We start from the raw sequence: 24,416 nt of genomic DNA, 5'->3' as shown, positions 1-24,416 counted from the left end.
TATTGCAGGGAGGACAAGACATGCCAGTGTTGAAGCTGAGAGCTGTAGGGCTGGACTAGCCCCAATAACTCGCCAGGAAGAAAGCCAGTGAGCAGGGTTGTTTCTAAGCTTGGTTTCTGATCATTCTGTCCTGCCAGCATTCCAGCACATGCCACCGATTGTGACAGCTTCTTTCTAGGGTATGTGCCAATCCATAAATATTTCAGACTAGAAATGTGCACTGGGCACCTCCTTATTGATGCTATCCCCATCTCAGTAAGGAGCACGGGTGTCGTGGTCTGCATCTGTTCTCGCCACTGCTTCTCTTGTGAAAACATCCAGTGCCTGGATCCACACAGGCCCCAAGTTCTTGCTCAGGAGGATTTTTAGACTTGAAGTCCCCAAAGGAGGATTTGGGGGCAACATGCCAATGGGAGCCAGGTTTCACTAAAAGGCTGCAGTAAGAAACAATCCCCCAATCCCAGTGGCTCCCAAGCCGCAGAGGTTTGTTTCCAGTTCGGGCCATGTGGGGCTGCTCCACAAGTCTCTTCATTGAGCCTGGGACTGGCCTTTCTCATGGCACTGGGAGGATGGAGGCCAGCTTCCAGAATGGTGCTGCTCCTGGGAACTGCTTCAGTGAGACAACTGCCAGATCCACTCCTGTCCCCTCAACGTGCCCACCTCCAGCTTCTAGTGGAGGAGACAGCTTCTCCATCAGGAAGGCTCTGAGATTTGGTGGCAACAGGTAAAGGTGTCTCATCCTCCTACTGAGAGAAGGGTTCTAACAGTGAGCCACAATACCCAAGGAGCCAGAAACCCCCCGGGGCCCTTCCTGGAAACACCAGGTGATGTGCTGTCTATGGGAGTCCATCACCCTCAAACTAGGGCTGCCAGCTCAAAGGGCAAAGACTACATTCACCTCCTTAAGAAAAATGCGTGGTGGAAGGCCCGAGTCTGTTCGGGCTGCTAGAGCAAAATGTCATAAACTTAGTGTCTTATAGACGACAAAAGTGTGTATTTCTCACATTTGTGGAAGCTGGGAAGTTCAAGATCAAGGCACCGGCAAACTCAGTGGTGCTGAGGACCCACTTCCTGGTTCATGGACAGCACCTTCTTGCTGTGTCTTCATGCAGTGGAAGGGGCAAGGCAGGTCTTACGTGTCTCTTTTTTTTTTTTTTTTTTTTTTTGAGACAGAGTCTTGCTGTGTTACCCACGCTGGTCTTGAACTCCTGGGCTCCAGTGATCTTCCTGCCTCGGCCTCCCAAAGTGCTGGGATTACAGATGTGAGCCACCATGCCCAGCCAGGGGGTCTCTTTTATAAGAACACTCATCTCCTTTATGAGGGCTCAGTCTCTATGATGTAATCACCTCCCAGAGACCCCCACCTCCTAATTCCATCCCCTTGGGTGTGAGGCTTTCAACATATGAGGTTTTGAGGAGCACAGAAATTCAGAGCACAGCAGGGAAGGTGTGGATTTCCTCATTCTTACAGGCTTATCAACCATGCACCTGAGCCCTTGATGCTGCACCCAACTCAGGCTCTCTTCTACAGGGACTCTGTATGAGGCCACAGAGAAGCAAACAGAGAAGCAAAACCAGTCAGGCTCTTACTCTCACCGCTACCCATACTTCACTTCCTACACCAGACCAGTGGGACTTTTCCCCCACACGCCAAGAAGTTCTCCAGGGGTCACTGACAGGGTGTCCTCCGGTTCAATTTAATCCTCATGCTACCTACCTGGAGGTAGCATCAGACCCCACAGGTGAAGGGCTCAGTCCCAGAGGCTGCCCACACTTCACATGCCAGTTGCAAGTCTGCTTGCCCCCAACTTCTGTCTGACCTGACTACAAATTGGAGCTTCCCACAACCCCTTCTCCCATTCGATTAATTTGCTAGGATGGCTTACAGAACTCAGGGAAACACATGCTTATGTTCACTAGCATTTTATGCCAATAGAGGGGATTCCAAAGGGCACACAGGGGCAGCCAGATGGGAGGTGCTTAGGGCCAGGCATGGGGGCTGGGGTGTGGGGCTTCCATGCTCTCTCTACAGAGCTGCACCCTACAGGCGCACCCACATGTTTGGTCATATGGAAATTCTCCAAACCCCATAGTTTAGGGGTTTTCATGTCGACTTTATCCCATAGGCCTGATGGATTACTGACTCAATATCTAGCCCCTCTTTCCTTCCCAGAGGAAGGGAATGGGGCTGAAAGTTCCAGGCTCCTAATCCTGGCTCAATCTTTCTGATGACCATGCCCCATCCAGGAGCCTTCAAGAGTCACCTTATTAGACTAAAAGATGCTCCAGTCACCCAGGAAATGCCAAAGAATTTACAAGCTCTGTGTCAGGAACCAGGGTCAAAGATGAAACATTTGAACAAAAGATTTCTCACAGCACCCCTACCACTCAGGAAATTCCAAGGATTTGGGGAGCTCTGTGCCAGGAACTGAGGACAGAGACCAAATATATGTTTCTTATTGTTATAATTTTTTTCCTACTATTTCACTGAGACTTCCTGCAATTAAAAGCTTGGGGCCTTATGCTATGAAATTCCAGATTTAAAAAACTCTAGTTCTCTTCCACGTGTATGGCAAGACTCTGCCACAGTCTGTAAACCCCACAGTCTTCACCAGGCCCCTACTTTGCATAACTGAGGTCCCAAATCCTGCTCTTTGCTGACGGGGTGCAGGAGGGAGCAGAAATGATCAGATCTCATTGAGCCTAGATAACTTCGCAATGTGGATTCTACTGAAACCTGAATATAGTCAAGGTGCAGTTGAAAGACAGTAGATACTCTTTCTCCTACGATATTTCTGCATAGTACAAACAGCCAGCAGAGGGTAAAAAAGGAAGCTGAACCTAAGCCACCTGTAAGTACCTTCAACAAAAGGGCTGGATTTTTCAAAATAATTAAAATTGAAAAATGTGGAGTGTTCATTTTGTTAACAAGAGCTCGGTTACTGCTTTTACTGTGAAATGCCATATATTCAAGTAGAAAACACTGAAACCAGCAGTTGTCTTCAAAGCCACAGTATCAACAATATGGGTGAAACTCCCGTGTTGTGTGTATGTATGTATATATGTGTGTGTATACACCTGTGTGTATGTGTATATGTGTGTATATGTATACATGTATATATGTGTACACATCAGTGTATGTTTATATGTGTATAGACATATGTGTCTGTAGGTATATATGTTTGTATGTGTATATGTATGTATATGTGTGCATATGTATGTGTGTATGTAACTGTATATGTGGCATATACATGTGTGCATGTATATATATGTATGTGTATATGTGTGAATACATGTGTATATCTATGCATACATGTGTATTTGTGTATATATGTGCATGTATGTGTGCATGCATGAGTGTATGTGTGTATGCATGTGTGTGTGCACATGCGTGTGCATATATGCATACACATGTATGCACGTGTATGTGTGCATATGTGTGTACGTGTATATATGTGCATGTGTGTATATGTGTATGTATGTGTATGCAAGTGTGTATACATGCATGCATGTGTATATGTGTGTGTGTTTGCATGTGCATGCCCCTCTTGAAACCCATCCCCTGCCTCTGAATTTGGCCCAGAGATAAACACTACTCTGCATTCATTGAAATGACATCAAGCCACGTGAAGTTCTCCTTTGACTGCCTTGTTTTTGTGTAGGTGGAGGATCCCAGCTGATGTTTTAACTACACCCTGACTAGCAAGGCCCTCCCAAGACACACACACACGCACACACATCATATACATGTGTATACATACACATCACATATTTATATGCATCTATACCATGTACATGTTTACACACATGTCACATATATACAATATATACATGCATCTATATCACATACATGTTTATACACACATATCACATAAGTATACTATATATCATCTGCACATTTAGGCACACACCATATATATATGCATGGATATCATATACATGTTTACACACTTATGTACATATGCACTCTATCTCTGTTGCATCTTGTACACACAATCTGTTGCACACTCTTGCACACCACCTCAAACCCACTCATCACACAATTTTACTCTCACACTCATACACGCACTCATACACACTCACACTGTCACACTGACACTCACACACATTCTAACACTCACACACACTCACACACCAACATGCTTCACATACTCCCCATCTTGTATACACTCACACAGACACACCCACACTTAGCCTCTGCAGTCTTTCACCACTCTGTCTCACACACATAAATGCCCACACACACATTCTTAGTCACTCACTCCTCCTTGTATTCACACATACACACACACACAATGTCACACACGCTCACATACACACACAGTTGCATGCACACAGACACAGAGTCTCTCACAGTCAAACAGGCAATGCCAAGCAGTGTGTAGATTGAAGAGGGGACATTTGATCATGATGAGTGGCCCATGCTTTGGAAAGGAGAGTGACAGGTTGGTCTGGGTTTGAATTTGAGGGCCTGAGAAAGGTTCAGTGCCTGGCTGAACTTCAGCCTGGTGAGCGATGACATCAGCCTCACAGGGTCGGAGGCCACTCAAGTCGACATCTCATTTTTCAGGAGGCCCAGAGATGGAGCCCATGCTCCCGTCCTGGGGGCAGGTGAGGAGAGGCCCATGACCAGCGTGCAGAGCAGCCGCATTTCTGGACCTCAGGAATATCTGAGTTGTTGCCACAGAAACTGAAAGAGGTTTCCTAAGAAATAAGCTTTTCTAAAGAAGCGTGTTTACATGGTTATAACAAACATGTTTAGAGCATCGTATGTCTGCGGCCATGGCTTTGGCAAAGTCGTTTCATTCCGCAAACAACCGTGCAGTGAGCTGCCTTGCTGTGCACCTGCCCTGCTCCAGACCCTGGACAGAGCAGCCAGGGCCTCCCCATGAAACCTTCTAGCATGTGTGAGATCCTCCATAAGTAGGAAGTCCATGCAGGAGATCTCAGCAGTGGCTAATCTGCAGGTGAGAACACGGAACCAGGTGGGGAGAGCTCAAGGAGGGAGCTCAGAGCAGGCCTGTTCATAAATGACATCCTGACTCAAACCTCACAACACAACGGAGAGGGCAAGGAAGCTTCCAGGGGGACGGTATGCCGGGGGGAGGGGACAGCAAGGGCAAGAGCTCAGAGGCGGGGCATGGGAGGAGGCACAGCACGGGAAGGGGCGGGGCATGGGAGGAGGCACAGCATGGAAGGGGCGGGGCATGGGAGGAGGCCCAGCACGGGAAGGGGTGGGGCTGTGGGAAGAGGCACAGCAGGGAAGTGGGTGGGGCCGTGGGAGGAGGCACAGGCGGAAAGGGGGCGGGGCTGTAGCCTAGGATGAAGCCTTGGATGCCATTTTTAGGGGCACCTGAAAGCTGCCAGAAGCTTAGGTGCGAGCTGAGAATTGAAAATGCACCTCACCTTTTGAAAACATGACCAGATCGCTGCAGAGAGAAGGAATTTCTAGAGTGGAATGTGCGGGAAGTGGGGGACTTCCCAGAGAGGAGTCATCACAAGGGGCCGGAGAGAGGCAACGGGCCCTTTGCACAGGCTCCTGGGCAGAACACGAGCAGGAAACGGGGACTGAGGCAAAGGAAGAACCTTCCCAGCTCCGGAGGACACTTTCCTGGGAGATGAAGTCGTGATGGAGTGGATGTGAGTCCCATCAGCCCCACTGCTGATGTCTGGGTGCCACGGAACCATCTTCCATGGCAACGCTGCTGCTATTTCACTCGCTGCCGTCGGGCCCAGGACGATCCCTCCTTGAGCCGGTGAGGCTTTTACACAGTCAGCCTGAAGCCAAGCAGCCTGTTTTGTTGACTTTTTGCCCAATCATGTCCAGCACGTGGAAACCATACCCCACGCAGAGATCAAACCTCCACACACAGAGCGAGGAAAGGAAGCAGGCTTTGCTAAAAGGACCCCATCATTCTGGACTGACGCCTTCATTAAGTCCTTTGTAATTCATCCTTATAGACATAAAATTATCGTCCGAAGGAAGAATGTTAATAAAACTGACATTTCTCCGTCAGTCATCTTAATTCACAACATAACACTTTCCGGAGCCAGTTAGGTGTGCCTGATGACTACATGCGGCTAAACATTGTTGTTCACTGGAAACGCACATTTCGAAGTCCCTGCCATCATTGATTACACTGAGAGCAGCCTCTTTGGTCTGGAGAAGCATGTTAATGTTACTGTTTTTGTGCCAGGCCGGCGGGGGAGCACACCCTCAGCCTGCGCCACCCTCAGGGACCCATGATGTCCCGAGAATCCCAAGAGCATGTGAGCCTCCTAGCTTGTGACAGCTGTGTGGAAGGGCCACGCCATGCACGTGGAGAGAAACCTGCCTCAGAAGGATGCCCAGGTGGCCCAGTTGTGGATGCAGCCACTGAAGCCTCCCTCTGGGGTCCCCCTCCAACAGCCTCAGTCCTCCCGATCACCTGCGCTGACCCCCCTCCCCACATCCCATGAGGAAGCTCAGCTCTTGGAACAAAGGACCTGGGACTCAGCCTTCTGATGTCGCAGGACTTTTCCTTAGCTCAGCTAATGACGGGGTCCTTGTCACATGGCCATGAAAGATTAGGCTCACAGACAATTTGAAGACTGAGAATAATAGGATTTATTGGGCAAAAAGGAAAATAAAGGGGGAATGGGGACTCAGCAGAGCAAGAGTCTCCCCAGTATAGGCTTCCCGCCTCACAAAATAAATTCCAGGTTCCAACCAGGAAGAGGAGTGGCCAGGCTCCTCCCTGCTGCAAACACCGTGAACTTCTGTGGCTCCACTCCAGTGTACATGCCCAGCGAGCAGGCCGGCTGGAGTTTCTCCGAGAACCCCTTGCCACCTGGCTGTCTCACTGAGAGTGTGTTGGATTCACTGGAGAAAAAGAGAGGGAGGCAGAGTGATGCCAGGGATGCAGAGGGACCAGAGGTCAGGTTCCTAGGGCTGCCAGGACAGGGGACCACAGACGGGGAGCCTTCACCAACAGAAATGGGTTCTTTCATAGTTCTTGAGGTCGGACGTCAAAGATCAAGGCGTGGGCAGGGCTGGCTCCCTTGAGGCTCCGTGGGAGGCTCTGTCCCAGGCCTCTCCAGCTCCTGGTGGTTTTTGGCAATTCCTGATGTTGCTCAGCTTGCAGATGCATCACCTGATCTCTGCCTTCATTGTCACTTGGCATTTTCCCTCCGAGTGCATGTCCACTTCTGTGCCAGGTTTCCTCTTTGTATAAGATGTTCAATGAACATTACCTTGTCTCTTGTTAAAACAGTGAGGAAGACTTTATTCAAGACCGCTGCAATGGAGGAGGGAGACTGAGATCAATGCCAAATGCAATGAAGACACCTGGGATTTGTAGTCTGGGGGCCCATGAGGAGCTGGTGGATGGAACCACCAAGAGGAGACCCAGGGACAGGGACTCTCACTGTGGACTCAGCAGGGCTCCTGCTGCAACTGGGCTGCAACTGGGGGTGGCCAAGACAGACAAAAGCTTGGTCAATGAGAAAGACCTTGTCAGGAACACACTTGTGACCTTGAGCATTGACCATTGACATTCGATTTGTCCTTTAGCATTGACCTTACACATTTCATATGACCTTTGACATGGACCTTTCACATCTGATTTGTCCTTTGGCATTGACCTTACACACTTGATTTATCCTTTGACATTGACCTTTGACATTTCTTATTGGAGTAAGGCCTACCTCAGTGACCTCTTGTCAACCTGATGATCTGCAAAGACCCGATTTCCAATAAGGTCACATTCTCAGATACTAGCGGTCAGGATTTTGACATCTTTTAAGGGGACATAACTCAACCCATATAAAAGGGTATATTTACCTTACAAAATCCAGCTAGGAGCATTGTCAGCAGGTCAGCCTCCCTAGAAACAGAGCCTGAGAGGTCTTCCGACCTGGGGAGAGGTTACTGTCAGGATAAACCTATAAAGGAGGGAAGGAAGGAACCTGGAGGTGGAGGAGACCTTCATCCCACCTTGTCAAGCCAGGATGACTCAGGCATTGGCCTGATCTCAAAGGAGAGCCCAGAGCCCAAACTGCTGTACAGGGTGCTCCACCACTGCCGCAAGGGGACCCTTTGTACCTGGATCAGTCAGTCCTGGAGAGGGGTCAGCCTCCCCATCAGGCGGCTTCTGGAGTGGAGAGCAATTCTCCTGGGGGTTGAGGGAGAGCTGAGAGACCTCAGGAGTCACAACACACTGGGGGCCGGTCTCAGGCCTGGCGAGGGAGATGGAGCAGGGCACGGCTGAGCAGGGCACGGCGGGGTGGGGCAGCCCAAGCATGTGGCAGCAGAAATGATGCTCCAGGTGCTCACGTGGGCCAGCCTTGCTGCTGCACTGGGAGCTTCTGGCTCCTGTCCTCTCCAACCCCATATATCTCGCCGAGAACTAATGCCCTTTAATGAAATCAAGCGACAGTGACAAAAGCCCTAATTTTATGTCTTCTTCATTCTCCAGCTGCAGCTGCAGTGCCCTTAGGACATTTCCGTTGACCAAGTGCAATTTATCTGAACTGAAAAGGAGCAGAAAGAGGCAGCTGCAACTCGGAGCTCCCTCTGTGGGCAGAGTGAGAACCTCGGTTTTCTCAGTATTTTGTTTGTCTTGTGTGTCCCCATGGGACGTCATCACTGCAGTTCAGGGGTGGTGACCAAGTTTGTTTCCCTGGTGGGCAATTTCCCATAATCTAACCCCAGCAGCAATTCCAAATCACTTTAAATCGAACGAAATAAATGTCTCTTTTGTTTCCGTCTTCTGAGGTTGGGGAGGAGAAACTTTGTTGCAAAAGAACTTTAAAAAAATACCCTTAAGGGGTTGCATTATTCAAAATGTCACAAAATAACCTTTGTGTTGGACACTTTAAATAAAAGAATGCTCTGTGAGTAGGTTGGGGAGGATGGAGGGAAGGTGAAGTTATTTTATTAATTACTTAAAAAAAACTTTAAAAAAAAATGCCCCCAAACCACAAGGCAGAATGACCCTAAATCTTTGGAGGACAAAATCTTGGGCTAACTTAAAAAAATTCTTCACATACTTGCGCTGCTCGGTTTCCATGGGAACCTAAAGAGGAACTCTATGATGCCTGCAGAACATCTATTTTTACATTAACCCTTCGTATCACAAACAAAGGAAAAATAGACAAGAGAGGGAGAGATGGGGAGGGGCAGCTTAACTATCTTCACTTGTGCTTTAAAGACCTCACAAGTGTAGTTGGGCTGGAGGACAAGACCGCCAACATCATCTGAAAACGGAAAGCAGACTGGTATATTTCTTTCTTTTAGAATGACACTCAGGAAAAGTAATTAACATGAATGTTGTTAAGTCTGCTATTTGCACCACGAGGACAATTCCAACTCAGGCAGCAGCATTTTCATCCTGGGATCTGAGAGCCTCGGAATGGGGGATTTGATCCTAGAGGCAGTGAGAAATGTGTGTATGCAGGTCATTATTCTGGGTTTGCAGCTGGGCTCACGTCCAGCCTTATGCCACTGGGTCTGGGTTTACAGCAGTTCTGAGCCCCCTGGGAGGGGCCTGGAAACTGTCAGTGGGTGAACACAGTTGCCTTTTAGGAAATAATGTTACCCACCACCTACATTGAGGATAACCTGTTTCAGAGGCTCCTAGTAAATGTAAATTTAGGCCTCTTTCCTCTCTGAGAAAGGAAAAGGCATAACTTTTGAGAAGGAACAAAGGCTTCAGCAACGGTTGGTGGAATGTGATACAGCTTCACTTATGTTTTTAAACCATCCCAGTGTTGGGGGGCAGGGAGAAACACCACCAACACCACAACAAAAGCAGCAACCTTGGGGAGTAAATACGAGTGGGTTTTCCCAGGTCACATTTTCCCCTAAAATAAACCTATTTTTAAAATAATACGTGAATCCAACGGCAACAGGAAGCTGATGAAGCTAAATGTGAGCACCTGTTTTTTCCTACACAAGAAATGAAAATAAACTCACTGTAATGAAAATCAAGTGCAGAAAAATGATTGCCTAATTAATTGAATGCTTCACTGATTAGTTGTGCTTCTTAAATGTCTCTGATGCCTTTTCTATTGATTGACAGTGCAGAAAAAAAAAACAGACAGAAGGAGGCAGCCTGGCCAACCAATCTGGCCTCGAAAGGGTCAGAGGTGGAATGTCAAGGGCAGTTGGTCAACTGCTTCACTCCGATGAACAGGTCCCCCAGCACTTTGGGGACAAGGTGGCCTCTGCTGCCAGCTATGTCCCTGCCTTTCTCTCATCCTTGGAAGAGGAAGTGGCTGGATGAGGGCTGGCAGGGTGGGCTCAGGGTGATTTTCTGAAACATTGCTAAATTGCCTGGGATAATAGAAGACATGAGCTATGTACCCATCCTGTTCAGCCCTCATGACAATTGATAATCTCCCCCCATTTGATTAACATTGTATTCTCAGCTAGACTGTAAGCTCCATGAGGGCAGGGACCAATTATGTCTGGTCCCCAGCCAACATTTCATATTGATTACTTATCCATGGCTGATACAAAGTAAGCACTCAATACACATTGGCTGAATGAAATAAATGTTTGAAAAGAAGAGCATGATGAGTATTGTGGTTTTTTTCCTATCAGTCCTATAATAAATTACTGCAAACTTGTAGTGAAAATAGCCCACGTTTATTAGCTCATTGTTCTGGAGATCAAAGTCTGAAATGGGTCTTTCTGGGATGAAATCAAGGTGGCAGTGAAAGGAGTTAGCCAGCTTGCTTTAGGCAGACATTAAGGGAAGGGTCCCCAGAGAACCTCTGACCTGTCCCACAGGTGCTTATACCAGACGTTTTGTGCAGATAAAGGAACTTGCACAGTGGGGCACACAGTGGACTAAGGGCCCGCATGCACAAGGGGTTGATGGGGTGGAGCCACTAGGAATTCGTGCCTTATACATATATATATATATATATATATACATATATATATATATATATATACATATATATATATATACATATATATATATACACACATATATATATATATACACACACACACACACACACACACACACACACACACACACACACACACCCTGGTATTCAGCTGCGAAGGGGGCAACTGAGAACCTGCCTTCAGGAACCCTCTCTTTGCTGTGAGCTTTCTTTTCGCTTAATAAAGTCTATTCCACTCAGTCTTTGAGTGTCTGTGTGCCTAATTCTTCCTGGTTGTGAGACAAGAACCCAGACCTAGCTAAGCAAAGGAGTAAAACATCCTGCATCAGCAGCAGGGCTGCATTCCTCTGGAGACAAAAGGGAGGAATCTACCTCTTTGCCCTTTCCAGCTTCTGAGGGTCTCCCACATTCCTGAGCTGGTGGCCCCCTCTATCTTTAAAACCAGCAACATTGGGCCAAGTCTTTCTCATGCTTCTCTCTCTCTCTGACTCTTTCTTCTGATTTCCTCTTCCACTTTTAAAGACCCTAAAGATTACATTGGGCCAACGTGGGTCATTCAGGATCTTCTCCCCAGCTCAAGGTCAGCTGAACAACCGTAATTCTATCTGCAATCTTCATTCTCCTTTGCTATGTGAGGTCACATATGTCAGGTTCCAAGAATTAGGGCATAGACATCTTTGGGGGAGCATTATTCTGCCAACCACAAATATCATCAGACAAAATAGGAAAAAGAAAGTGACTATATTGAGGTGCTGTCTTCCTCATTTTTATGTTGTCTGCAGGGTCAAACAGAGGGCCTCTGTAGCAGGTGTTTGGTTAATAAATGTTTGTGGAATAGATTCATATCCTATACTCATCTATCAAAAAATGTCCACCTGTTCTGTTCTCCTAATAGTACAGACTCATTAGAACAGAAAGGGAGCACAAAATAGAACTCTGCCTCTATAACTACATTTTAGACTCCTTGGTGATAGAAACCAACCCACAGTCATGATAACTAGCTAACATTCAGAGAGCCCTCTCTAATCTGCAAGACACTTTGCCAACCTTAACCCACTGGATCTTCTTTCTCACCCAGTGGGTGGTAATTACTGTTTCCATTTAGCAGAAGGGGAAATGGAAGTCAGAAGACATTGAGTAACTCAGCCAAGATCTAATAGCCGGTAAATGTCAAGGCCATGTCTTATTGATCTACACTGATAGGCCATCCACCCTGCCACACTGCCTCACTCTGAATGAAGAGGAGATAAAATAGCAGCCAATCTTTTGTTGCGTGATAAGGACTAAAAAAGACTAAAGGCAAGACCAGTCATTTTCAGGTGTTAGAGAAAGGTCTGTGGCAGGGCAGAGCATGAAGAAAGGGAACAATTTTGCCTGAAGGAGGTGATAAGAGGAGCAAGAAGATGACTGTCCTGGTAGAGAACCCAAGGGCTCTCTGTGCTTGAATCCCAACCCGCCATGTTTAAGTGGCTCAACCCACTCCATCCAAATATGTGTGCTCCATCTCACTTGCAGCTACTAAGATTGTTCCTTCTTTAACACCCACCTCGTCCACTTGCCAAGTCCAATAGGCATGAACTCCTGGAGACCTTGTGCATCCTGTATTTCCAGCACATTCATGGTGATCAGCACGTCAGTGTTTGTGGAACCCACCTAAGCATCATTTTCCTTGTTTATTCCATTTGGAGCTGATTGTGTCCAAAAGAAGGAGAGTGGGAGGGAAGGAAGGAGGAGGAGGGACGAGGGAGAGAGGACATAACAGATTCATCATGGCCTTTGGGTTCTGTTGTTGCTGTTTCTTGAAACTGATTAGAGCAAACTCTTGACTTCTAAAGAAAAATATTTGAGAATCTTTCTTCACCTCCCTGTTTTCTCTGTGGCCCAGACTTTTCCTTCTTAAGGTTTTCTGAAAGAATACATACAAGAAACAGCAGGAAATAAAACCCCAAGATATGAAAGTCAGTCTGACTTGCCCTTACCTAACCTTAGTCAGTAATGTCTGAGATGGGGATATTTCAATTATCCAAGCTTCCTCTCTCTTCCAGCGGCAGAGCCCCACTGACTGCGCAGGGAATAATACACATTCTACAATGTCGGCAAGTATGGATGGAGCACTGGGCTCGGCCCAGACATTAGTGCTCAAATGCGTTGATGGTGAGGAGTAATAAAGAAATTGAAGACATATCCCTGCCCTTGAGAAGTAATTTAGTTGGCGGGGGGGAAGGTTCCTAGTGATCCATGAAATGAGTAGAGGACAATTAAAGATTTAGTTGCCAACGTATAATTGTAACATAAACTGCATACAGCAGAATGGTGGAAATAATTAAAAAGAATGGGATTATGATAATTCCAGAGTCATCATGAAACAAGACCAGGCAGCCAAAGTTTCTGTGTGTAGACTGATCCCTTCATGCAGAATATTAACGGCCACAGGCAGGCTGGATGTTGGACCCAGAGATGACCAAGCAAAGGAGATGGATAAAGCCCCTGTCCACATGGGGCTCATGAAGAGAGAATGATGATAAGCCTCATGAATGAAGAATGGGGGGTCCTGAGAGAGAGAATGGAGAGAACCTGCCATGGAGAAGAGAAGGGTTCAGAGCTGCCTCACCCCACGCACACACCTGTCACTGCCCGGCCCCTTTGTGATTATTCCCTAGCAATGATCACAACCTGAAATAACCTCCTTTGTTGACTTGTTTCTTGAAGCCACCAGCCCCCCTCACTAGAATGAAAATTAAGTGCGGTTAGAGAGCTCTTTCTGCACATTCTCCACAGTGCCCCTGCTTCCAACACAGTTTAAAACACATGACCTAAGCTTAAAATTATTTGCTGAGGGAAAGAAAGAATCATGAGATTATTAGGGATGCATTATGTTCATCACATCATCAAATTATATTCGTTATGAAATGCATTATCAATGTCAGGTCTTTTCAATTCAGTAGAGGCCATATACATACACATATTTTTGTAATACAAATTTTTAAAGAGACGTGAACACGGATGACTATTGGTCACCGTAACTGCAGTTTCGCGTCTACCTCTTTTTATTTATTTTTTTAATTTTTTTAACTTGTTTTTGAGACCAAGTCTTGCTCTGACACCCAGGCTAGAGTTCAGTGGCGTGATCTTGGCTCACTGAAACATCTGTCTCCCAGGTTTAAGTGATACTCCAGCCTCAGCCTCCCAAGCAGCTAGGATTACAAGCATACACCACCACATCCAGCTAATTTTTCTATTTTTCATAGAGACGGGTTTTCCCCAAATTGCCCAGGATGGTCTTGAACTCCTGACCTCCTGTGATCCACCCTCCTTGGCCTCCCAAAGTGCTGGGATTACAGGTACCGTTTTTGTTTAATCAATGTTATCACCTCAGTGCAGTCTAACGCTGCTCAATTGTTCACGCCCTCTTTATAGGATAGGGTCTGTGCCACATTAAACATGAAATTAAAGCAACCGAATTTTTAGAAAGAGAAAACTTGGCCACTCCTTGCTTTGATATAAATCGTGTTGTGTGTTGGGGCCCCTGCCATCCCCCTCGGTGCACCAATGGATGCTCCACCGTGGCTGAGCAGATTCCGCGTGGATGCGGGATGTCAGTGTGACTGCACAGTTCTCCCATTTCCTTTTAAAATCGTGGGAAGAAGGCACTGAAACAAAACATCTTTTATTGCCTGGGCTCCAAATGCACCACAGGGAATGTTTACCAAGGGGCTTTTAACACAAATATTTACAGAGATTTTCATGCAGTTGAGGTCCTAGACTATTTGGATTTGAGTAGATGGAGCAAATTGATCTATAAACTACACGCTTTAGTAATTACCTGCAATATCCCAGGCTTTCTGAATTCCATCTCTCTTTCCCTGGCATGATGTGATATCCTCAACAATTGAATTGCTTCTTGGCAATGTGTTGGCTGTTAGTTGTGAAAAGTCAGTACGATTCCAAATGTGTGGGTCAGTGGCTTTATTAAGACTCATGACCTCATGCAGGAGGCCCAGGCAGACTTGGGCAGCTGCAAGCAGAACAGCTACATAGGATGCTTCTAATGTGGAGACACCTGCGAGAGAATTTTAGTTATTTAAGAAAATGCTCGCTCTCTCTCTTTCACACACACACACACACACGCATATCCACTCAGACTGAGCTGGGTCATGACACACCAACACCACTAATTTCATCTCTAAGTTTTTCAGTCTGTCATGTCAGGCAGCAGCTAATAAGTGCACTTGAAGATGGGAATTCATTGATCATCTTTTCCCAAATCAGTGGAGTCTGTGTCTGCCATAACTTCATTTAACATCTCATTAGGAAAGATGGCATCACCAGCCCACCCAAGAGCAGCCTCACTATCTCCCTTCATGGCTTTTGCCCCCCACACAGCTGTGCTGGGGACCCTGTTTCCATCAGGCCTCTGATGGGTCCTGCCTTCTTCTCCTGCAGGCTCCACTCCCCCCACTGGATAAGGAGCCTGGTTGTAGACTCCTGGTGGCCTTGGGGTTACAGGAACAGACTGTGCCCTGGGTCTTCCTTGCACTGGAAAGCTCCCTCTCTATAACTTCAGAGGGAGAAGACTCTTAGTACCCTAAAATACTAAAATACATGAGATTGGAGGAACCGACTCTGCTTTGTTCATTCCTACTCAGAGACATCTCCAGTGAGCCAAGCCCTGGGGGGATGTGGGGCTGGACTGCTAGGAAACTTTGCAACTGAGTTCAAACTTGGAACTGTCCTCTCTTCTCCAACACAGCAAAGGTCAATCGAATTTATACTTAGGTACTTACCAATGCTCTAAACGAAAAGAAGGCGCTCCGTGTACCTGCAATAGAGGCAATTGTTAGGAGGAGGCAGAGCTGTGGACATGCAGGGCTCCAGGGCAAGAGTCTATTGGAAGTGGCAGGGATCTGGCTCCTGAAAATGACAGGGACCCAGGCACCCCACATGGCAGGAGACCCCAGCCAGATTCATGTATGAAACCTGGAGCGAGTGAAAGGAGGCCGGGGAGAGCCGGTCCCAATGGAAGCAGAGCAGTCACGTGGTCCAGACTTGGGCTAAGCTGCCAATTGCCCTGTGACTGCACCTGTGCTCTCCCCAGGATCTTGACAGGCAGGAGCAGGGGCCTCCAATACAATGTGGTTCTGACCAGGATTCTCAGGGGCAGAGAAAAAGCACCTGGGAAACCACCAAATGGGGTTGGGTGGAGGGCAGAAGGGAGAGAGAGACCCACTCAATAGAAGGTTCTGAACATCATGAAGAAGATTTACACACTAAAGCGACAATTATCAGTTAAGACATTCATCACCAGTGAAATGCAAACAACAGGAAACCTCGAGATGTCTATAGAATACCCTATGGTCTCAAAGATCTAAAGGTCTCAAAGATGTAAAGAAAGAAATATATGAAAAATAAGGAAAGATTATGATTGGATATGAATTAAAAACAGATCACTTTTCAAAGCTCAGTTCAAGATTCTGGAAGTAAAACATACAGTCATTATTTATTTATTTATATATTTATTTATTTATTGTTTTGACACAGGGTCTCACTCTGTCATCCAGGTGGCTGGAGTGCAGGGGTGTGATCACAGTTCACTACAGCCTCAACCTCCCAGGCTCAGGTGATGCTCCCACCTCAGCCTCCCCAGTAACTGGGACTACAGGTGTGTGCCACTGCAACCAGCTAATTTTTGTATTTTTTGTAGAGACGGGATTTTTCCATGTTTCCCAGGTTTGTCTCAAACTCCTGGATTCAAGTGATCCACACATCTCGACCTCCCAAAGTGCTGGGATTGCAGGCATGAGCCACTGCACCCAGGCTGGAACTTTTTAAAATTACAAATGGATATGAACCTGGTCAGAGAAAGATTTGTGAACTGGAAGATAGTGTTGTGAAGCTCCTTCTAAATGCAGCAGACGGAGAAAAAATCTTATCTTATGAGAGATAAGTTAAGAGATATGGAAAAGAAATTGAGATTCTGCCACACAGGAAGGAGAAAACAAGGGGAATGGCAAATAAACAATATTTGAAGTAAGCATGGCTAGAAATTTTCTAGATTCAATGAAAAAGCAGGAAATTTCAGCTAATGAAACACTTGGAGTGCTGAGCAGGATAAATATATACATGAATGTATATATATATAAGTATACATGAATTATGATGAAACATTGTTGCAGTGCAGAAAGATGAAATAAAATATTTAGAGGTACCAAAAAGAAAAGAGATATCATGACAAAAGAAAGACCATGAGACTGGCAACAAATGTCTCCTCAGTGACAGTAGATGCTAGAAGACAATGAATAAATAGCCTCAGACTGTCAAGAAAACTAACTGCAAATGCCATATTTGATGCACCCTGTGAAACCATTGTTCAAGAGTGAGGGCAAAAGAGGCCAAGATATTTTTAAAATATGGACTAGAAGAAAACATGATTTACCACCCTCAGATGGTTGCAGAGAAAGCTACTGAGGGATATATTCCAACAAGAAGAAAAGTGAACCAAAGGGGAAGGAGTGGTCTGCTAAAGATAATACTGAGCAAAAAAATAATAATAAAAGTATTTTGCTGAATGCGTTTAACCACTAATTGGAAATTTGTATTTAAGAGTATTGAATTAAAATGTAAAACAAGAATGTACGGTGGGGAAAACTGGAAAAGGAGGGAAACGTCAAATAACTTTAGACTTTGTTAGAAAAATAGACAGTTATTATGTTAACAACTTAAGTTTACCAGCTAAAATATGTGGAGAGATATACTATAATAACTTCCAAATTGGTGGGAAAAAAGATATAAGAAAAGCTGTATCAAAAACAACAAGTCAAGACATAGAGAAAATAGAAGCTAGTATCTATAAAAAACAAAAATAGACAGAAATAAATATACCAATACTTACAATAAATGTGACAATATTACCTATCACGGACAGAGACTAATTAGATAACTTAAAAATCCTTCTATATGCCATTTAAAAGAGTAATGCTAAAAGCAGACAAACACTTATTACAAATATGTATAGAAAGATGTACTAAAACTACATATAACATAATTCACAGATTAAAGAAAAATCATAGTAACAATAACAAAATATTTAGAATTGATTGAAAGAAATCCCACTTTATGTCAGAACTCATAAGACATAGCTAAAGCAATTCTTTAAGTAAATTTATAGCTTTTAATGCATTTAAAAATGTTATAAAATAAATGAGCTAATCATTCAATTCGAGAACCTACTAAAATAAGAGAGAGTAAGCCTATAAGAAGGAGAAGAAAATCAACAGTAGATAAGAGCAGAAATTAAGAAAACAGAAAAGGCAAACAAAATATGGCTGATTGATAAAACCAAAGATATTTCTTTGGAAACTAATGAAAGAAAAATAGTCAACTGAGTGGACAGATCATGGTGAAAAAAGCAGGCACAAGGCATCACTAGGAGCATAAAAAGAGATGCAAAAGGAAGGTTAAAAATCATAGGACTATCATGAACAACTTTTTGACAATAAATTTGAACACCTAGAAGAAATGGTTTTTAGATAAAATTTATAAAAATTATTCAGACACTAGATTATGGTGATTTTTCAAGGAGAGTTTCACAACAGCCTCAAGAAACAGAAAATTGTCTTCTTATACAAATTGTTCCAGAATAGATGAAGCAAATAAAATACCTGACTCATTTTCTGATGCCAGTATAATTTGATATCAGAACTGAGCAAGGACATGATGAGAAATGAAAATTATAGGCCTACCTCCCAAAGAATATAGACGCAGAAATTCTAAATAAAATATCCGAAAGTCCAATCTCACAATGTATTCACAAAAAGCACATCAAGGTCAAGTGGGTTTATTTGTCTTGGGAAGTGAGAGGCAGTTGAGGTATTGCCTCGGACTGTCACTCAAATGGATCTGCCTTCACATGGAGACAGGTGGCCAGGGTCAGAAGGAGTTTCCCACTTCCACTCTGCAGAATCCAACTAGTCAGACATGAGCAGCGTAGGAGAGAGCTCCCCTCGTACCCCACACCACACACACCAGGAATGTCAGGCCACATTCCTGATATTCATCAGGTGATGGTCAGGCCGTTAACAGTCTCTCTAAAATAATAATTGGTCACTGCCAGTGCCAGAGGAAGGCAGTCTCCCAATAAACAGAAACACTTGAAACTGGTGATCAGCAGCTTCCGAATGGGATCTCAGGAGTTGGGCCCGTGGGCTCAAGCATGCCCAGTAAGAGGCATAATGGCAGAGTTTAACCGGCGCATGACCTCCTAAGTACATTGCGCTGGTTAAGAGAAAAATGCCTCAAGCAAGCATGCGCACAACTCCAGTAAACACACTGCGCATGCTCCTCTCCCGAGCGCTGGCAGAGCACTGCGCATGTGCACAGCCCACTCCAAGGGAAGAGTCAGGGAAGAAAGGACGCAAGACCCTGGACACATGCTGACGTACAAAACCCCAAGTCAAAACGTCAGACCACGCACTTGATCTTTCAAGTCACCCGCTTGGCCTTCTTCCAAGTGTACGTTCCTTCCTTTCATTCCTGCTCTAAAGCTTTTGAATAAACTTTCACTCCTGCTCTAAAACTTGCCTCAGTTTCTCCCTCTGCCTTATGCCCCTCAGTCGAATTCTTTCTTCTGAGGAGGCAAGAATTGAGGTTGCTGCAGAACTGTACAGATTTGCGGCCGGTAAGAGAAGCAAACAAAACAGAATGCTGACAAACCAGAAACCTCCTAGGAAATCCGAAACGAGAGAGAAAAGACAAAGACATCCTTTATTTGATAAAGAGTAACACAAAAGGAAGAGGAGGAGGAAGGGGAGGGGAAAAGGTGCTGAGGAGAAGGAGAAAAAGCAAACACTGAGTTTCATGACGAAACTTTAGAGTCACGAAACGATAAGGACATCAGGAACTTTCTAGAATACTGCTATCATAGTGCCTTCCTGATACTTTTCTGCGGGTGCTGGCCAATTCAATGTAAGGAACAGAACTGACAGAATGTGGATTGGGATAAAAAGGCAAAATGACGTGGTTTGCAGATGAATAGACTGTCAACAGAGAAATTCCAAAGACATTCTACTACCTATTAAAACTAGTAAGTGAATCTAGATTCAAAATCAATATACAAAAATCAGAAGTCGTTCTGTATGTTAAGAAAAGCCCGTCCAAAAGTGTAATAGAAAAAAAAAAAAAGATTTACCCAAACCACAAAAACTGTAAGTTACCCAGGAATAAATCTAAGGAAAGATGAGCTAGAAAAGAGAGTTATAAAATATTATTGAAGGACATAAAAGAAGACTGAATAAATGGAGTGATTTACTGTCTTCATAGGTAGAAGGGGTAATACCATAAATAAGTCAATACTTCCCCAAATGTATCTATAATTTCAATGAAATTCAATAAAATTCACAATCAAAAGTGCTGTCGTACTTGATACACCAATTCTCACTAAAATTCATATGGAAGAGGAAAAGAAGAACCAGGAAGATGCGGGGGGGAAGACAGAAAGTGGTAGATGCTCATCTCCACCATTCTATCTATGTTAGGTCATTCTTGCTCTGCTATAAAGAAATACTTGAGGCTGGGTAATTTATAAAGAAAAGAAGTTTAATTGGCTCATGGTTCTGCAGGCTTTACAGGAAGCATGGTGCTGGCATCTGCTCGGCTTCTGCGGAGGCCTCAAGAAGCTTTCATCATGGCAGAAGGCGAAGGGAAGCAGGCGTCTCACGTGGCAAGGGAGAGAGCAAGAGAGTGAGGTAGGGGGAGGTACCACATACTTTTAAATAACCAGATCTCAAAGAACTCATCAAGCCATAAGGGATCCGCCCCCGTGACCCAAACACCTCCCACCAGGCCCCATCTCCAACATTGGGGGTTACATTTCAACATAAGATTTGGGTGGGACAAATATCCAAGACACATCACTGTCTATAGATAGATTGCTCTATCTGTCAAGATGTATCCATGGTAATTAAGGGCTATCGTATTTGAATAGGCAACTAGATATGCAGAACAGAATTAAAAATCCAGAAATATATATTTGCATATATATAACTTTGGCATAAGATACGGAAGATGTGGTAGAGACTGCTGGATGTCCACTCTAAGTCTGAGAATGGGCTACTTAGAATTTCCAAATCCTTTGCAAAAAAAAAAAGTCTGGCTAAAAGAAGAAGTAGAAATGCTGGACGGTGGCTTAGAATACATACAGCTGATACCTGTCCTTGACCCTCCTTCCCTCTTTCTCTCCATGATGCTACCTGGAAACTCAGGGGTTGGTGAGAACTTCATCTTGGACCATGAAGGTTCCAGTCATGCCCTAGGAATTAAGGAGCTTGGATTCCTGGCAGAGCCAGCAGACTGGCCCAAGAAAGGCTGCCCCAGATTCACACATGAGCGAGAAATACACTTCTATCTAGTTTCAGCCATTTATCTTGGGGCTTTGTGTTTCTCACAGTAGATCTTTATCCTAACTGATATGGAAGGCATTACAAATCTGTGGGACCATTCAATAAATTGTGCAGGGACAAATGTCCAGCCATATGGAAAGAAAATACAATAGATGCTTACCTCATGTACAGAAATAAGCCCTAAGTGAATTTGAAACCAAACATGGAAAATAAACCTTCAGCATACCACATCGGAAGAAATGATAGGCCACCTTCAGCATACCACATCAGAAAGGATTTCTTAAACAAGACCAAAGCAGAAATCACATGGGAAAAGGTTATCACAGTTGACTGTATCTAACTATAACTTCTGTATGGCTGGTGACCACAGACAAAAGGCATCATAAATAAAAGAAATAACTATTAGGGGAGGAGACTGGTGATTATAAGATATAGTAATACTTTTCATAATGCATGAAGAAATTCTACAAATCATAAGAAAAAGACAACCCAACATTAAAACGGGCAAAGACTGTCAACAGGCAAGCCACGGTGGAGGAGTTCCAGGCAGCCAATAAACACATGCATGGCTGGGCAGCATCCCCAGGCATCCAGGAATACAAGTTAAAACAATAGTGAGATGATTATTAGATGAGACACAGGTAAACTTAAAAAGGCTGTTGTGACACAAAGTACGTGCCTTAGGTGGGGGTGGGCAGGCCAGTCCTGTCTGAGGAGGGGAAAGATGAGAGGTGCCAGCTGTGTTAAGATTCAGGGAAAGAACATTCTGGGAAGGAGGAAGAGCAAGTGTGAAGTCCTGGGTGAGGCGAGACGGTGGGTTCCGTGGGAAGCTCTGTGGAGAGTGATCTATCAAGCAAAGGGCACAGCAGCAGGAATTGGGACCTGGGGTCTCAGCCACCTCAGGGGCTGGTGCCTCTGCAGAAGAGCCATGTCTGGATCTTATAAACCTGTACAGCATGGATGCATGCACGGTGATCTGCCCTCTCCAGGACACAGGCTCCCCAAAGGGCACCTGAACTGTGCAGAATGACCCCGAGGGCTCTGTATCTTGCTCTCTGCTCTTTCCCTGCATGCGAGGTGGACTCCAGGCCACGTGCCATTCTGTAATGATGGCCCACATTCTCCCAACTCTCTTTTGAGTCTTGCCATTCTGGCTACAATGAGAACGCGATTCTCTTCCTGCTCGGCAATTCCCTTCCGGCCTTCCCATTGTGGACAGAATGGCAAGGTGCCTGATGCTTGGACAGCAGAAATGTCTCTTCTGCTGTCTGAACCCTGCCCATCCTCTCCGAGCCAGCTCATGCCCTAACTGTGCCTTATCTCCAGGCTGTGCTGATCTACAGGTGAGCTCTTTGGGCTCTGCCAGCATTCCTACAGCACCCATAGGGTGTTTCCTGTCTACAGTGTGTGTGTGTGTAGCACAGGGGCAACCTCATATATGGGAAGAAAGGGAGCAAAGTCAGAGTCCTGACTGGGCAGATTGCTCCACCTTTCCCATCTCCATATCTCCACCTGCCATGGGAAGAAATAACACCCACCCGACAGGGTGGAGCAAAACATTCAAAACCGCAGGGCACCTGCCTGCCACTGTGCAGGGCTCATCATAATGACTCCGTAAACAGCCCACTTCTCTCCCTGTTGTGGATGGGTGGCCTCCTCCCATTCTGCCCACTAGCCGTAAAATGGGACAGAGTCTGTTTTAGTCTCCTTACGGGCCCACCAACGGAGACAACAATCTCCAGCAATTTAAATCCAATGAGGAAATGTTACCGAGATATGTAAATGCTTACTGAATGAATGAGTAAATTATACAAAGCCTCCGCTGATGATGTTGACAGGGAAGGTAGCAGAGCCCACGTCACAGGGGTAGGCTGGGAGAACCAGCTGGTCTGCACCAGAAATAGCCTAACCCATTGCTGACGCCCGCCAGCGGCATCCCGATTTTGGCGCATCCACACTACGCACGGTGGAATCCCTGCCGTCTACGGTCCTGTTAAAGGGGAACTTTAAAGTCACCCAGATGAAAGTGGCGTGACTCGACCATAGCCCTCACTGGTGTCAGACGTTTTCACTGTTTCAGCCTTGTTTTGTCCTCACGGTCCTCACATCTGTTTTCATGTTCTCAGCTAGGACACCCCAGGTGGCCTGATACCCATCTAAAAGTCCAGCTTTCATGATTAAGGCTGAAATATTAGTGACTGCCAAGTGTTCAACACACCAGTGAGGCCACGTGATGCTTGCTGGACTCTAGTCTTCCCTGGCTTCTCTCTCTGGCCCGTGGGGAGTAAAACCTCACTCAACCCGATGCCTGGGTTCCAGGGACCCTGGTTAAGCGGGATCCTTGTCAGCTGAAATACCAAGGCCCAGGCGCAGTGGCTCAAGCCTGTAATCCCAGCACTTTGGGAGGCCACGGTGGGCAGATAGTTTGAACCTAGGAGTTCAAGAGCAGTCTGGGCAACATGGTAAAAACCCTGTCTCTACAAAAATACAAAAATTAGCCAGGTGTGGCGGCGCACACCTGTAATCCCAGCTACTTGGGAGGCTGAGGTGGGAGAATTGCTTGAACCCGGGAGGCAAAAGTTGCAGTGAGCTGAGATTATGTCACTGCACTCCAGCCTGGGCAACAGAGTGAGACTTTGTCTCAAAAATAAAAAATAAATACCCAGAACTGTCTTTTTGTTTCAACCCTGCTTGGAATTTCAAAATATTCCTGTCTCTCTCCTGGCCTAGGGAATTACGTGGATTTGCTGTCAGAGTCACCGTAATGCTGGGCGTCTGGCTCAACTGATCCTGGGGCCTGGACAGGTCAGAAGGCACGACCATGACTCCCTCGGAAGCAGCTGGCAGCCAAAGTCTCTCTGGGGTTACTTTTAGGATCTGCCTTTCACCAACATGTGTTGGGTTTCCCTGGTTCTGCTTAGAGGCCCCTGCCTGTTTGGCCCCTTGGGGCCCTGCTGGGGTGACAGTGAGTGATGATTCTGTGCCTCCTGGGGATGATAGACTTGTCTGGCAGGCAGGAGATGCAGCCATAAGTGCCAGTGTGGGTGCGAGCAAAGGACTCCAGGCAAGACCACCTCTAATGGTGCAAATGCAGCCATCTCCAAACCCAGGACAATGGACCCT

The 24,416-nt window shown here is 45.6% G+C and overlaps 1 long non-coding RNA gene across 1 annotated transcript, besides 2 other annotated features; it reads right to left on the bottom strand.

The window, feature by feature from the left end:
* Positions 5,699–6,200: an enhancer, noted in NCBI's record as "H3K4me1 hESC enhancer chr1:4485131-4485632 (GRCh37/hg19 assembly coordinates)". NCBI's record gives its function as "activates a minimal SCP1, AML or CMV promoter by ChIP-STARR-seq in primed H9 embryonic stem cells {active_cell/tissue: H9 hESC(primed)}" and the evidence as "EXISTENCE:reporter gene assay evidence [ECO:0000049][PMID:30033119]".
* LINC01777 (long intergenic non-protein coding RNA 1777) lies at positions 6,587–19,220 on the bottom strand. The gene is made up of 6 exons (NR_027088.1): positions 18,639–19,220; positions 15,684–15,718; positions 14,723–14,959; positions 8,084–8,511; positions 7,823–7,923; positions 6,587–7,277 (listed from the first exon to the last, which is right to left on the bottom strand). It is a non-coding gene; the product is annotated as a long intergenic non-protein coding RNA 1777 (long non-coding RNA).
* Positions 7,758–8,258: an enhancer, noted in NCBI's record as "H3K4me1 hESC enhancer chr1:4483073-4483573 (GRCh37/hg19 assembly coordinates)". NCBI's record gives its function as "activates a minimal SCP1, AML or CMV promoter by ChIP-STARR-seq in naive H9 embryonic stem cells {active_cell/tissue: H9 hESC(naive)}" and the evidence as "EXISTENCE:reporter gene assay evidence [ECO:0000049][PMID:30033119]".
* Positions 19,221–24,416: the final 5,196 nt, after the last annotated feature.

This window comes from Homo sapiens, chromosome 1 (genome assembly GCF_000001405.40).
Source record: "Homo sapiens chromosome 1, GRCh38.p14 Primary Assembly".
Classification (NCBI taxonomy): domain Eukaryota; kingdom Metazoa; phylum Chordata; class Mammalia; order Primates; family Hominidae; genus Homo; species Homo sapiens.
The sequence above is the reverse complement of the archived record's forward strand: the minus strand, read 5'-3'. Positions and strand labels throughout refer to the sequence as shown.